Raw genomic sequence first — 13,951 nt, forward strand, 5'->3', positions numbered from 1 at the left:
TGGGGGTATGGGGGAAGGGGAAGTATCTACTAACGGGAACAGAGTTTCTTTCAGGGAGATGTAAAGGTTCTGGAATTAGATTGGTGGTTGCACAATCTTGTGAATATACTAAAAACTACACTGTATGCTCTAAGAGGGTGAATTTTGTGATATATGACTTGACCTCAGGTTTTATCAAAGGCCCTCCAGACTCCTTAGCTGGCATTTGGGAGCCACCCCAGCAGGTCCCACGGCCTCTCCTGCCTCATCTCTCACTCAAACCTCCTAACCACATCCTCATCCTCTACCACCCTGGGAACCCTGTGAGGTCACACCCCACCCCCACTGAACAACCCCATCACAGCCCTCATCACCCAGCATTGGGGTGGTGAACTGTCCTCCACCCCACCGTGAGCTCCCCTGGGTCAGAGACCAGGCTGGCTACCCCTGTGTCCACAGCACCCAGCAGGGGCCCCATAGATCCACAGAGTAGACATCAGACAAAGAGCAGAGGTGGATGAATGGATAGATAGATGTTTGGATGGGTGATGGATAAATGAATGGATGGATGGGTGGATAGTTGGATGGGGGGATGGAAGATGACTGGATGAATGCATGGAAAATGGGTAGGTGGATCAGTGGATGGATGGATGAATGAATGATTGAACAGATAAATTGATGGATGGATAAATGAGTGGATGGATGATGAATGGATAGATGAACGGATGGTTGGATATAGGTGGAAGGATGATAGGTGGATGGATGGGTGGATACATAGTTAGCTGTGGGGGATGAGTGATGGTGAATGAATGGATGGATGATTGAACAGATGGACGGATGGATGGATGGATGGATGGATGGATGGATAGATGAGTAGATGGATGATGAATGGATACATGCATGAACAGTTGGATGGGTGGGAGGATGATGGATGGATGGATGGTTGGATGGATGGGGGGATGGATATACGTGGATGGATAGATGATGGGTGGATACCTGGATGAAAGAATGGATGGATGAATGGATGGATGGATGATTGAATGGATGGATGGATGGATGGATGGATGGATGGATGGATGATTGAACGGATGGATGGATGGATGGATGGATGGATGGATGGATGGTTTGATGGGGGATGGATAAGTTGATGGATGGGGGATGGATGGATGCATGGATGGATGACTGAACAGATGGACAGATGGACGGATGGATGGGTGGGTGGGTGGGTGAATAATGAAGGGATATGTGGATGTATGGGTGGATGTGTAGATGGGTTTTCAGGGGCCTAGATTGTCCGACCATTGCCCCTGTTTTGGTACAAGGGAATGGCCATCACTCCTTTCATTCCTCTATCCTCTTTCTCCCTGCTGATTCTAATGGCTCCAGATTGGCCAAGGGCTGTAGGAGGGGATGGTCAGGCCTAGTGAGCTGGGTGAAGGAGGGTAAGAGTCAGTGCTGCACTTTGCCCTGGACTTCAAGCCAAGACTTCCTTGCTAGGAGCTCTGGCAGTGAGAACAGGACTCATGGGAGCGCCTCAGAGCAGACAGGCCACTGCCCTAAGCCAAGTGGTGACAAAGGCCCTGGCCCATGGAGAGGGAAGGAGAGAGGGCCCAGGCTTGGCTTCTCTGCTGAGCCCCAGGAAGGTGACAACTCAGCAAGGTACAGGTAGGGGAGAAGACAGATATGCCTCAAAGTGGGCCTATGCTGGCTGGAGCCTCACAAATATACAGCATCCCCCAGCAACCTGCACACGTGCATATGCACATTCACGCACACATCATCCAGCCAAGGGGCGCACTGGCTGGCTCGGACCACAGCCACCCCACTGCTGTCTCAGAATGGATCCCACCACCACCTTCTGATGAGGCAGATTTCCTTGTGGCCATTTCACAGAAAGGCAAACTGAGGCAAACAGACTGAGTGGCTTGGTCTGAGCCTGGTTCCCCCGACCAGTACTCCCACTCACTGGTCTACAAAAGCCAAGAGTTGTTTCAAAGGGAACCCACAGCTGTCACTGTCCCCCTGGGGGTGCAACCTCATGGGTCACATCAGTGGTGGCAAAGCTCATTTTCCATTTCCTGCCCACACTCCTTCTGCAGAGGCTTCCTGAGTATCTACTCCATGCCCAGCACTGTGCCCCTCACCAGAGGTGTATGAGAAACAAAATCTGGTCTGTGGGCTTGCAGCGCTGGGGTCCCAGGGCCTGTCACTGAGTCCTTGCTGACTCAGAGGTCAAGGTCATCTCCCCACTGCCAGGAGGCCGGAAGGGACACGTGGCTGATGCCCTTGCATCAGGGCAGGACCAGGGAGGACTTCCCAGAGGAGGTGATTTTGAACCTGAAACCCAAAGATAAAAAGGGAGGCATCCAGGTTGGGGGAGAGGGGGCATGGCAGGGAGAAGGGGAGAAGGGCTGAGGAGGCAGCGTGAGCTGGAAGCCCAGAGCTTGTGGGGAAGGAAAGCAGGCTCCAGGCAACTCTGCAGCCAGCATGGCAACTGAGGCCAGGCCAAGCCTGGGGGGCTTAGTGTCTAAAGACAAGATGAGGATCCCAAAACACTCAGGCTTTAGGAGGCAGCTTTGAAGCAATCAGGGTACTTTTTTTATTTTTTATTTTTTGAGATTTTGTGTAACCAGGCTGGGCGCAGTGGCTCATGCCTGTAACCCCAGCACTTTAGGAGGATGAGGTGGGCAGATCACCTCAGGCCAAGAGTTCAAGACCAGCCTGGCCAACATGGTGAAACTCCGTCTCTACTAAAAATACAAGAAAAAAAAAAAAAAAAAAACCTAGCCAGGCATGGTGGTGCGTGCCTGTAATCCTAGCTACTCCGGAGGCTGAGGCAGGAACCTGGGAGGCAAAGGTCGCAAGTGAGCCGAGATTGCACCACCGCACTCCAACCTGAGCGACAGAGCGAGACTCCATCTCAAAAAAATTTTGATGTAACCAGGGCTTAAAAGAAAAAGAGAGGTTGGGTGTGGTGGCTCATGGCTGTAATCCCAGCAATTTGGGAGGCCAAGGCGGGCAGATCACCTGAGGTTGGGAGTTTGAGACCAGCCTGACTGACATGGAGAAACCCCGTCTCTACTAAAAATACAAAATTAGCTGGGCATAGTGCTGCAAACCTGTAATCCCAGCTACTCGGGAAGCTTAGGCAGGAGAATCGCTTGAACCCAGGAGGTGGCAGTTGTGGTGAGCCGAGATCGAGCCATTGCACTCCAACCTGGGCAACAGGAGCGAAACTTTGTCTCAAAAAAAAAAAAAAGGAAGAAGAAAGAAAGAAAAAGAGAAAGAGCTATGGCAATATATGAATTATTTGCAACCTGCTTCCCCTGCAACCCCCACCCAGACCTCTAAGGCAGCTGCTGCGCTTCCTCACCCAGCAAAATCTGCAAATTGGGATACAAGGGCAGAGAGCAGCCAGAGAGGCTGTGGGGGTGATGTCCAGGACAGAGTTGAGTGGAGTGGAAGGGCTCAGGAGGGGCCCAGATGGAATGGGGCGAGGACAGCTAGGTTTCGGGAGCTAGGAGTAAGGGAGTGAGACTCCTAGAGCACCTGAGATAGGAGCAGAGCATGAGCGATGGGGAGATCATTTGTACACATTTGGCTGCAGGTTATGAACATCCATCCACATTATGGTGCTATCCCAGGAGTCTGCAGTAGAGTCGGCAGTAGATGGATGGATGGATGGATGGATGGATGGATGGATGGATGGATAGATGGATGGATATAGGTGGATGGATGGATGGATGGATGGATATAGGGGGATGGATGAATATAGGTGGGTGGATGGATGGATGATGGGTGGATAACTGGACGGACGGATGGATGGATGGATGGATGGGGGGATGGATATAGGTGGATGGATGGATGATGGTGGATGGTTAGATGGGTGATGGATGAATGATTGAACAGATGGATGGGTGGATGGATGGATGGATGGATGGATGGATGGATGGATGGTTTGATGGGGGGAGGGATATAGGTGGATGGATGGATGATGGTGGATGGATAGATGGATGATGGATGGATGATTGAACAGATGGATGGATGAATGGATGGATGGATGGTTTGATGGGGGGAGGGATATAGGTGGATGGATGGATGATGGTGAATGGATAGATGGATGATGGATGGGTGATTGAACAGAGGGATGGATGGATGGATGGTTTGATGGGGGGAGGGATATAGGTGGATGGATGGATGATGGTGAATGGATAGATGGATGATGGATGGATGATTGAACAGATGGATGGATGGATGGATGGATGGATGGATGGATGGATGGATCGATGGATGGATGGATGGATGGTTTGATGGGGGGAGGGATATAGGTGGATGGATGGATGATGGTGGATGGATAGGTGGATGATGGATGGATGATTGAACAGATAGGTGGATGGATGGATGGATGGATGAGTGGGTGGGTGGATAATGAAGGGATATACGAATGTATGGGTGGACATGTGGATGGGTTTTCAGGAGCCTAGAGTGTCCAACCATTGCCCCTGTTTTGGGTCAAGAGAATGGCCACCACTCCTTTCATTCCTGTGTCCTCTTTCTCCCTGCTGACTCTAATAGCTCCAGAATGACCAAGGGCAGTAGGAGGGGATGGTCAGGCTTTTCAGCCAGGCTGGGTGTGATACCAGACCAGTAGTTCTTTTCAACTGTCATGAGGTGCTCTTGGTCAATGGGGTAAATGCATTTACATGTTCTTCCACTATAAAAATAATACCCATTTATTACTGGATATTTGGAAATTGCTAATTTGGAAAACTAGAAAGAACAGATAATTTTCCATATTGTCAACATCCAAAGATTTGTATCAATCACAATTCAGTGCATTTCTTTCTGATCTTTTCCTAATCTCTGCATTTTATGTCATCTTCATAGTTTGTAGAATGTTTTGAATATTGGTTGTTTTTTAAAATTTAACATGATTGCATAAACATTTCCCCATGCCTTTAAAAACTTACTGTAGGCTGGGAGCAGTGGCTCAGGCTTGGAATCCCAGCACTTTGGGAGGCCGAGGCAGGAGGATTGCTTAAGCCCAGAAGTTCAAGACCAGCCTGGGCAACATAGGGAGACCCCGTCTCTACAAAATATTTTTTTTTAATTACCTGGGTCTGGTGGCACCCATCTGTGGTCCCAGCTACTCGGGAGGCTGAGGTGGGAGGATCACTTGAGCGAGGGAGGTCAAGGCTGCAGTGAGCCATGATGGTGCCACTGACCTCTAGCCTGGGTGACAAAGGGATGCCCTATCTCAAAATAAATTAATTAATTAATTAATTTTTAAAAATCATCATAAACCTATTTTTTTTTTTTTTTTGAGACAGAGTCTCGCTCTGTCACCCAGGCTGGAATGCAGTGGCGCAATCTCCGCTCACTGCAAACTCCTCCTCCCGGGTTCACACCATTCTCCTGCCTCAGCCTTCCGAATAGCCGGGACTACAGGCGCCCACCACCACGCCTGGCTAATTTTTTGTATTTTTAGTAGAGATGGGGGTTTCACCGTGTTAGCCAGGATGGTCTCGATCTCCTGATCTCGTGATCCGCCCGCCTCAGCCTCCCAAAGTGCTGGGATTACAGGCTTCAGCCACCGCGCCCGGCCCGTAAACCTAATTCTAATGGGTGCATCATATTCCAGAGAGAGGACGTATGAGAATTTCATGATTCACTTTGTTGGGCATTTTCACTGTGGGTATTTCCTGCTGCTCTAAATAGTGCTCTGACAAACAGTGTGGAGATTTTCCTCAATTTCGAGAGACTCCCTGAGTGTGAGTTTCCAGAAGTGGAATCATTGAGTCGACTCACTTCCTGAATGTACAGCCAAGCTGGCCTCCAGAAGTTCTGCAGAGATTTCCACTCCCATCAGGGGAATGAAAGCCTCTGCTGCACAGTGCCCAGTACAAGGGACCCATGTGTACTTACTCGCCTATGATGTGGTGGACTTGAGGGGCCTCTCCGTGCCCAAGAAGCATTTCTATGGCTGTGTTTTGTGGCCCTTGTTCCTGCCACCCCTGGGAACTGTCTCGTGGGCTTGGCTGGGGCTGTGAGCCGGGGAGTGGACGCTGCTTGGATTGAGAAGCCGGCAGCCCCCGGCCTTGGCTCGTGCCTTCCTCATCTGCAAATGGAGAGACCGGGAGGCCATGAGACATCAGCGTGGACAGCGGGCATGGCTGGTGACCTGCCACTGCACTCTCGCCCCTCACAGCCCGCCGTCTGCTGGCAGGGCCGCTCGGGAGCACACGCTGTTCCTGGTGCAAAGCCACTGCTGCCTGTTCCGGGAACAGCAGAAGATCAAACGCCCCGGGCTCCTGGACTTCATTAAAAACGTATTTCTTTCTCTTTGCCCGCAAAAGTTTCCATGTAACCAGGGAAACCTTTTTTAAATTACACACTTCCTCCAACAGCCATGCAGTCTGGGGCCTGAGAATGGACGAGGCCGGGATCTCTCAAGATCTCAGAATCTCTTCCTCCGCTGGAGCCCAGGGCCTCATCGGGGAATGTGCAGCTCAGCTTCCAGATGGGCAGAGATGCCACATGGAAGGAGGGCAAGGGCCAATACCCAGCCGGTCAGAGGGCACCCAGATAGCCCCAGAGTCCCCCAGCCACCGCGAGCCCGGCTAGACAGCTGGGACAGCCCGGGGAAGGTGCCGGGCATGCATTAATCAGCTCATCTCCCCACCGGCTGACACTCTGCCAGGTCCTCTGTGCTTCGATAGAGCTGGGACGGGGGACAGAGAAATAAATCAGGCAAAAATCCTTTGGCCAAGTCACTGTCAGGCTCTGGAGGGGGAGATGGCACCTGAAACATATAATTATATTCACGTCGCTGTTGAAAACACATTTTCTGAGTACTTACTCTGGGTCACTAACTATGCTGGGAGGTTCACATCATAAACATTCTGTGAGCTGGGGACTGAATGTGTCCCAGGCCATGCCTGGCTGAGGCAGACAGAAGCCCAGCGAGGGCCACAGAGTCCACCTGGGGCCTCGGGCCACCAGCAGGAGCCAAAGCCAACCCAGGGTCCCAGGCCACCAACAGGGACCAGAGTCAACCCAGGGTCCCAGAACACCAGCAGGGACCAGAGCCAACCCAGGGTCCCAGAACACCAGCAGGGGCCAGAGCCAACCCAGGGTCCCAGGCCACCAGCAGGGGCCAGAACCAACGCAGGGTCCCAGGCCACCAGCAGGGGCCAGAGCCAACCCAGGGTCCCAGGCCACCAGCAGGGGCCAGAGCCAACACAGGGTCCCAGGCCACCAGCAGGGGCCAGAGTCAACCCAGGGCCCCAGGCCACCAGCAGGGGCCAGAGCCAACCCAGGGTCCCAGAACACCAGCAGGGGCCAAACCAAGACTAGGCTGCTCAGCCTGCCTGGCTCCATGATACTGCAATGGGGGCAAGCAGGAGGCCCGGGAGTTCCCTCAGGGTCACAAAGGCGCCCCCCTCCCCGAGCACTGGGATGGGGTCAGCCAGGAAACAGAACACAGTGCCTGTCCCAGGGCCGGGGAGGAGGGAGGAGGGGAGGAGGGGGTTGGGCAGAGCCAGCTCCGTGGACAGCCTGTGCAGGAAACAGCTGAGGGAAGCTGGGGCGAGATGGGAGCAGTATCGCCTCCACAGCCCACCCTCCCGTGGGAGCCAGGGCCAGGGCGGCGCTGCCACTGCTGAGGTTGGAACCACAGTGGCTGAGGCCACAATCCAGCTCTGGGTCTGCCAGCTCCCACCAGCCATCACTGCCAGAGCCCAGGGACCTCTCCTGTAGTGTAGGACTGTGGATTCCTGCCCCCGAGTGTCATGGAGATTCCAGGTCCCAGAGGACAAGACAAAGCCAGGAGATGTTGTTTCTCCCAAGACTGGGGGCAATTCTCGGACCTGGAGCTGAGTCAGCCCCATTCACCTGCTCACCAAGGGGACTGTGGCCAACGCCTGGGCAGTTGACAGTGACCAGCAAACGAGTGAATGGAGGAAAAAGGGAATGCTCGAGTGAATGAGAGGAGGCAGAGCCCTGACCAGACTCTGGGAGCCCCAGGTCTGGCCGGTTCACAGCCTCACTGGAGGCCTGCTGCAGGCCAGGAACACGGCGAGGCAGCAGCCGGGGGGTATGGAGGGCAGAGAGACTGCAAGCCTCTCCCGGGGGTGGCTGTGTTCCTGTGGCCGCTCCCAGAGGATGAGACGGAGATTTCTAGACAGAAGAGATGGTGGAGGACACAAAAATACAATTCCTGCCCCATGGAAGTACCGAGGCCAGCTTCTAAAGAAAAGGGGGTGAAAACTGACGGGATTTCTTTCCTAACTGACTTCTGTATGTTCCAGATTCTTTTTCCAACCTTGGTTCAATTCTGAACTGAATCCTCAAGTCCCTGGCCTCCAGGAACCCAGCTCCTAGGCCAACAGACCAGCGGAGGCAGCAGACAGCAGGACAAACAGGGCGGACAAGAAAGATCTTTCTTCAACCTCAATCCCAGAATGAACGCTCAGGCAACTGCTGGGAGTAGTGAGCCCACCATCTCTAGAAGCAATCAAGTTGCTCTTGGATGCCCAATAGCCAAGAAGCCCAGGAAAGAATCTATAAGTGAAGGGGGGTGTTATTATATCAAGGTTTACCCCAAGGCCCCTCATCAGGAAGCCCCATAGGAATGGTGCTATGTCCAGGGTTCAGAGCCACCCAAGTCCTCCAGACAGACCAGAGGGGGGTGCCCCAGGAGCCCTCTAGGTTCCAGAGAGCAGCAAGAAAGGGCTAAGCACCTGCTATATGCTGGGCACTGTGCCAGCCAGGAGTTTTCTCTCATATTATCTCAAATCATCTCAATATGCTGCAAAGTATGTATTTCTGTACCTTTTTTTTTTTAGACGTAGGCTTGCTCTGTCACCCAGGCTGGAGTGCAGTGGCACGATCTCGGCTCACTGAAACCTCCGCCTCCTGGATTCAAGCGATTCTCCTGCCTCAGTCTCCTGAGTAGCTGGGATGACAGGTGCCCACCACCACGCCCAGCTAATTTTTTTGTATTTTTAGTAGAGCCGTGGTTTCACCATGTTGGCCAGGCTGGTCTCAAACTCCTGGCCTCCAGTGATCTGCCTGCCTCGACCTCCCAGAGTGCTGAGATTCACAGGCGTGAGCCACGGCGCCCGGCCTCTGTCCCCATTTGACAGATGAGGAAACTGAGAGTCAGGGAGGTAAAAGGCTTGCCTGAAATCACACAGCTCCCTGGGAGCAGAGCCAGGATACGGAGCCAGAATTGGCTGGCCCACAGCCTAGGGCCAGCGCTCCCCTTCAGCTGTCATTCAACCCCTAAGTATTTATGAGTGCTTGCCACGTGCTACGTCTTGGTCTGGGGTTTGGGTCATAATCCCTAATGACTGTTTTGAGTACCATAATCCTGAATGCTGAAATCCCAAAAGATCAAAATCCCTAAAGTCTAAATCCCTAAAGTCTAAAATTCCTAACATCTAATTGACTCCTCCAGTCATGACAGATTTGGGATTAGAGGTGATCAAGGCTTCTAAAAGCGAATGGCAAGGTGTTACCAATAAAGTTTGTTTTTTCCATTCAGCCTAAGGCATTTGGTGGAAAATGCAGACAACTGGATGGGCCATTTGATACAGCAGCCACAAAAACTTCAGCTTAAAAGTGTGTCTTTGGCCCAGCGCGGTGGCTCACGTCTGTAATCCCAGCACTTGCGGAGGCCGAGGCAGGAAGATCACCTGAGTTCAGGTGTTCAAGACCAGTCTGGCCAATGTGATGAAACCCCATCTCTACTAAAAATCCAAAAAGTAGCCAGACATGGTGGCAGGCGTCTATAATCCCAGCTACTCAGGAGGCTGAGGCAGGAGAATCGCTTGAACCTGGGAGGCAGAGGTTGCAATGAGCTGAGATCACACCACTGCACTCCAGCCTGGGTGACAGAGCAAGACTCTGTCTCAAAAAAAAAAAAAAAAAAAGGTCATTTGCCTGCCTTGGCATTCCTTCCAGCTGACAATATTCTAGGAGCTTTCATGTATTTATTTTTTTCTATTTCTAGTTTTTCTTTTTTTCTTTTTATTTTTCTTTTCTCATGCCTCGGAGAGCTTTTAAAGAAATACAGCCACATTTGCCTGAAGAAGCCACTGAAGTTTCTGACTGGTTTGAATATAATTATGTGCACGTAGGATAGGAAGACACGTACAGCTGGCTGGGCGTGGTGGCTCACACCTGTAATCCCAGCATTTTGAGAGGCCAAGGCTGGCAGATCACTTGAGGTCAGAAGTTCGAGACCAGCCTGGCCAACAAGGTGAAACCTCGTCTCTACTAAAAATACAAAAATTAGCTGGGCATGGTGTCGGGCACCTGTCACCCCAGCTACTCAGGCGGCTGAGGCAAGAGAATAACTTGAACCCAGGAGGCGGAGGATGCAGTGGGCTGAGATTGCGCCGCTGCACTCCAGCCTAGGCAGTACTGTGACCACCAAATCTGTGGTCTGCATGTGAGTGCATGTGGAATGATAGAATGCCCATGTCGGTGTATGTCAAATGATAGAAAACTTTCATAAAGAGCAGAGCCATGTAGAAAATGAACATGAACATATTCTCACAGGAGAGGTATGCTCTTAATAAAAAAGAAAAAAAAAAAAAGCAGCCGGGCGTGGTGGCTCACGCCTGTAACCCCAGCACTTTGGGAGGCCAAGGCGGGTGGATCACGAGGTCAGGAGCTCAAAACCAGCCTGGCCAATATGGTGAAACCCCGTCTCTACTAAAAATACAAGAATTAGCTGGGGGTGGTGGCGGTAGCCTGTAGTCCCAGTTGCTCGGGAGGCTGAGGCAGGAGAATCGCTCGAACTCGGGAGGCGAAGTTTGCAACGAGCTGAAATCGCGCCACTGCACTCTAGCCTGGGTGACAGAGTGAGACTCCATCTCAAAAGAAAAAAAAAAAGCAGCTACTCATCGAGATGCAAGACTTCAAACTATAGTTAATAACAATGAAAGTTGGCCAGCTCTTATGGACTGTCTCTGAGTAATAGCCCATAGTCTATCCGAGTAATACATTTTTTCATATCGAGTCGTCTTTTTGGTTTGTTAGTTTTCTTTTTTCTTTTCTTTTTCTTTGTTTAGGTTTTCTTTTCACTCACTCTTTTAAACTAGCAGCATTGTTTTTTTACAATTTGTTATGCTATGGATTTAATCTTTGCATCATTTCCAATCCTGGAAGTATAAATTGCATGGAGACTTTTAGAGAGTTCTAATTCATTTTTTGCATCTTTTGCAAATTTGACTCCACAAAAGTGCATTATCACAGCGTTGACTTTGTGTGTAAGCACTGTGTGTGTGTGTGTGTGTGTTATATAAAAATGTTGAAACTTCCTCAATGAAGTGACGTCCTTTTTGTCCATCTGCACTTGGAAAAGGTAAAGTTTCTCCAGATCTCAGCTCTCTGGGTGAGTGCACAGGCACTGGTGGCCCATCACAGATTTTGAACGGTCTTATCAAAAGACTTAGGTTGCTCATCCAGGTATTCCAGATGACTGCGGTTATAAAGCTGGGTGCACATAATTACCCACCATAGTATTATTTGTTAGTACATTTTCCTTTTCCTTTCTTTTTTTGAGACAGAGTCTCACTCTGTCACCCAGGCTGGAGTGCAGTGGCATGAGCTCAGCTCACTGCAGTCTCTGCCTCCCAGGTTCAAGCGATTCTCCTGCCTCAGCCTCCCGAGTAGCTGGGATTATAGGAATGCGCCACCATGGCAGGCTACTTTTTTTGTATTTTTAGTACAGACGGGGTTGCACTATGTTGTCCAGGCTGGTCTCGAACTCCTGACCTCAAGTGATCCACTCGCCTCAACCTCCCAAAGTGCTGGGATTACAGGTGAGCCACCACTCCCAGCTGAATAGCCTGCTATTGACTGAAAGCCTTACTGATAACAGAAACAGTTAATTAACACATATTTTGTATGTTGTGTGTATTACACACTGTATTCTTACAATAAAGGAAGCTAGAGAGAAGTAAATGTTTTAAGAAAACCATAAATAAGAGAAAATGTATTTACAATTCATTAAGTGGAAGTGGGTCACCATAAAGGTCTCCATCCTTGTCATCTTCATGTTCAGCAGGCTGAGGAGCAGGAAGAAGAGGAGGTGTTGGTCTTGCTGTCTCAGGGATGGCAGAGGTGAAAGAAAATGCAAGTATAAGTGGATCCAAGCAGTTCAAGTCCATGTTGTTCAAGGACCAACTGTAAAGTCACATTCAGTTTCCAGGTGGCCAGGAATTTTTGGAGGATGAAAGTCAACACAGTATAAGTAAACAGCCTGGAACTATGGAGCTACTTTTTCTCTGCAGAGTAAACAGCAGGCACGCTCACCACCTGCTATAAAAGATTCAGGTTCTCTGAGCTCAAGGCTCCTCTTCTACACAATCCCCTGAATACAAAGCTGCCATTGAGCCCTATTTGTGTTATTCTTGGAACTGGCCCATAAAAATGCAGATACTCTGGCTCCCGCTGCTGCTGTGGGTCATGAACTGTTTCTTGTTTCTGACCCAGGAGTCTCATATCTTCTGCCAGAATTTACGGAACGGAGGCAGGCTCTTTTCTTACCTTGCAAATAGGGTATAATCTCATGTCCTTCACAGTTCTTGGCGAGTAGGACCTGTGGCTAAGGGAATGGCTTCGTGACTTACAGAGGAGGAGAGTGTGAGAATCGTGGAGGCGAAACTCTAGGAGGAAAGAGAAGACAGGCAGCGAGGAGGAGTGGCAAGAGCTGTCTGGGAGGCTCTGAGGAGGGGACGAGGTCAGGGAGGGAGACGCTAAGGGGGCGTTGTCCCTGCTGGCCGTGTGGTGGGTGTGCAGAGCCCCTCCTGGCCTGGCCCACAGATCCTCAGCGGAGCTCATCCTGCTCACTGACGGTTTGTGCAGGGGACTGGGGGTGACCCTGAGAGGGGATGGGATCTGCTAACAGGTTGGCATGGGCATGTGGGCAGGCAAGATGAGGGTGAGTGCCAGGGCCAGGGAAGAGCTGGTATCCCGCTGACATCCCACAGCTCATCTGATGGTTCCGTTAAAACTGAGGTGGGCCCAGAGCCCTGCCTGCTCCCTCCCCCAATGCCAGGGGCCCCTTCAGGATCCCCAGAGCTCCAGAGGCATGATTAGGAGATATCTGGACCCGACGACCTCGGTCTGACCTTGATGTTGAGGTTTTGGCGGTTAACCCCCTTGGGGGCAGAAAGGGTGGCTGCTCTGAGCCCGCCTCCCCATTTCCTTACAGGCTTCATAGAGTCGTTGAGTTTGACCCCAGCCAGGCTAATGGGTGCAAAATGCTTGGACGAATGGTCAACCTGGAAGATGGAAAACTGCTGCCAGGAGCAGTGATGGCTTCATGTAGAGCAAGGGCTTCGCAGTCGGCAGCTGCAGGTTCTAATGCTGCCTCTGCGAACCTCAGTTACCACGCTTTTGAAATGGGTCCATGGAGCGGCAGGGCTCAGTGGTGGAACCGGTTTTCAAAACTTAAGAAGCTGGACTGTCAGGCCGGACATGGGGGCCCACACCTGTAATCCCAGCACTTTGGGAGGCCGAGGTGGGCGGATCACGAGGTCAGGAGTTCAAGACTGGCCTGGCAAGCATGGTGAAACCCCGCCTCTACTAAAAATACAAAAAATTAGCCAGGCATGATGGCACCTGCCTATAATCCCAGCTGCTCAGGAAGCTGAGGCAGGAGAATTATTTGAACCCCGCAGGCAGAGGTTGCAGTGAGCCGAGATGTCGCCATTGCACTCCGGCCTGGGCGACAGGGCGAGACTCGGTCTCAAAAAAAAAAAAAAAAAAAAGAAGCTAGACTGTCTAGGCCCGACCCTCTCAGCTGACAGTGCAGAGAAGGGCAGGGCTTTCTCAAAGCCAAGTGAGTTAGAAGCAGTTAGTCAGGGTTAGCTCCAGCCTGAGAGTGGCCCCCGAGCTAATCACCAGTTTCTACCAATCAAAGTGAGGTCAGACCAGCAGATGGGGGAGGGGGAGG

This window comes from Homo sapiens, chromosome 22, assembly GCF_000001405.40.
Source record: "Homo sapiens chromosome 22, GRCh38.p14 Primary Assembly".
Classification (NCBI taxonomy): Eukaryota; Metazoa; Chordata; class Mammalia; order Primates; family Hominidae; genus Homo; species Homo sapiens.